Genomic DNA, 2,690 nt, shown 5'->3' with positions numbered 1-2,690 from the left:
CCAGCTTCAATCTTTGGCATATAGCTAACCAGTTATCCTAGCACCATTTTTTCTAGGCTTTCTATTCTGTTCCATTGGGTATATGCCTGTTTTTGTACCACTACCATGCTGTTTTGGTTACTCTAGCCCTGTAGTATAATTTGAAGTCGGGTACTGTGATGCTTCCGGCTTTGTTCTTTTTGCTTAGGATTGCCTTCGCTGTTTGGGCTCTTTTCTGGTTCCATATGAATTTTAAAATACTTTTTTCTAGTTCCGTGAAGAATGTCATTGGTGGTTTGATAGGAATACCATTGAATCTGTACGTTGCTTTGGGCAGTATGGCCATTTTAACAAAATTGATTTTTCCTATTTATTCCATTTGTGTCTTCTTTGATTTCTTTGAGCAGTGTTTTATAGTTCTTGTTGTAGAGATTTTTCACCTCCCTTATTAGCTGTATTCCTGTGTATTTTATTTTTTTGTGGCAAATGTGCACGGGATTGCATTCCCAATTTGGATTTTGGCTTGACTGTTGTTGGTGTATAGGAATGCTAGTGATTTTTCTACATTGATTTTGTATCCTGAGACTTTGCTGAAGTGACTTATCAGCTTATGGAGCTTTGGGGCCAAGACTATGGGATTTTCTAGATATAGAATCATTTCATCTGCAAACAGGGATAGTGCAACTTCCTCTATTTCCATTTGGATGTCCTTTATTTCCTTCTCTTGCTCTGGCCAGGACTTGCAATACTATTTTGAATAAGAGTGATGAAAGAGGACATCTTTGTCTTGTGCCAGTTTTCAAGGGCGATGCTTTGAGCTTTTTCCCGTTCAGTATAATGTTGTCTGTGGGTTTGTCATATATGGCTCTCATTATTTTGAGGTATGTTCATCCAATACTTAGTTTGTTGAGAGTTTTAACATGAAGGGATGTTGAATTCTATCAAAAGCCTTTTCTGCATCTATTGAGATGATCACGTGGTTTTTGTCTTTACTTCTGTTTATGTGATAAATGACATTTATTAATTTGTGTATGTTGAACCAACCTTGCATCCCAGGCATAAAGCCTACTTGATCATGGTGGGTTAGCATTTTGATTTACTGCTGGATTTGGTTTGCTAGTAATTTGTTGAGGATTTTTGCATTAGTGTTCATCAAGGATATTGGCATGAAGTTTTCTTGTATGTTGTATCTCTACCAGATTTAGGTATCAGGATGATGCTGGCCCTCATAGAATGAGTTAGGGAGGAGTCCTTCCTCCTCAATGTTTTGGGATAGTTTCAGTAGAAATGGTACCAACTCTCCTTTGTACATCTGGTAGAGTTCAGCTGTGAATCCATCTGGTCCTGAGTTTTTGGTTTTTTGGGGTTTTTTTTTTTTTTTTTTGGTTGGTAGGCCATTTATTACTCATTCAATTTTGGAGCTTATTATTGATCTGTTTAGGGATTCAATTTCTTCCTGGTTCAGTCTTGGGAGGGTGTATGTGCCCAGAATTTATCCATTTCTTCTAGATTTTCCAGTTTGTGTGCATGGTGGTGTTCTAATAGTCTCTAGCGTTAGTTGTATTTCTGTGGGGTCAGTGGTAATACCCCTTTTGTCATTTCTGATTGAGTTTATTTGGATCTTCTCTCTCTTCTTTATTAGTCTAGCTAGCAGTGTATTTATCTCATTTTTTTTTTTTTTTCAAAAAAACTGCTCCTGTGTTTGTTGATCTTTTGAATGGTTTTTCATGTCTCACTTTCTTTCAGTTCAGCTCTGATTTTGGTTATTTTTTGTCTTCCACTAGCTTTGGGGTTGGTTTGCTCTTGGTTCTCTAGTTCTTTACTTGTGACGTTAGGTTGTTAATTTGAGATCTTTCTAACTTTTTAATATGGACATTTACTGCTATAAATTTTCCTCCTAACACTACCTTAGCTGTGTAGAGATCCTGGTATGTTTTATCTTTGTTTTCATTAGTTTCAAAGAATTTCTTGACTTCTGCCTTAATTTCATTATTTACCCAAAAGTCATTCAGGAGCAGGCTCTCTAATTTCTATTTAATTGTATGGTTTTGAGTGATTTTCTTAGTCTTGAGTTCTATTTTTATTGTGCTGTGGTCCAAGAGAGCGGTTGGTATGATTTCAGTTATTTTCCATTTTCTGAGGATTTCTTAATCTCTGATTGTGTGGTTGATTTTAGTGTATGTGCCATGTACAGATGAGAAGAATGTACACTCTGTTGTTTTCAGGTGGAGAGTTACGTAGATATCTATTACATTCATTTGGCACAGTGTTGACTTCAGGTCCTGAATATCTTTGTTAATTAATTTTCTGCCTCTCTGATCTGTCTAATACTGTCAGTTGGGTGTTGAAGTCTCCCACTATTATTCTGTGTGAGTTTACATCTCTCTGAAGGTCTCTAAGAAGTTACTTTATGAATCTGGGTGCTCCTGTGTTGGGTGCATATATATATTTGAAGTAGTTAGGTCTTCTTGCTTGAATCCTTTATGTAATGCTCTTCTTTATCTTTTTTATCTCTGTTGTTTTAAAGTCTGTTTTGCCTGAAACTAGGATTGCAACCCTTACTTTTTTTCTGTTTTCCATTTGCTTGGTAGATTTTTCTCCATCCCTTTATTTTGAACCTATGGGTGTCACTGCATGTGAGACGGGTCTCTTAAAGACAGCGTACCATTGGTTCTTCATCCAACTTGCCACTCTGTGCCTTTTAATTGGGC

This window comes from Homo sapiens, chromosome 9, assembly GCF_000001405.40.
Source record: "Homo sapiens chromosome 9, GRCh38.p14 Primary Assembly".
NCBI lineage: Eukaryota > Metazoa > Chordata > Mammalia > Primates > Hominidae > Homo > Homo sapiens.
Note: the sequence above shows the minus strand (reverse complement) of the source record.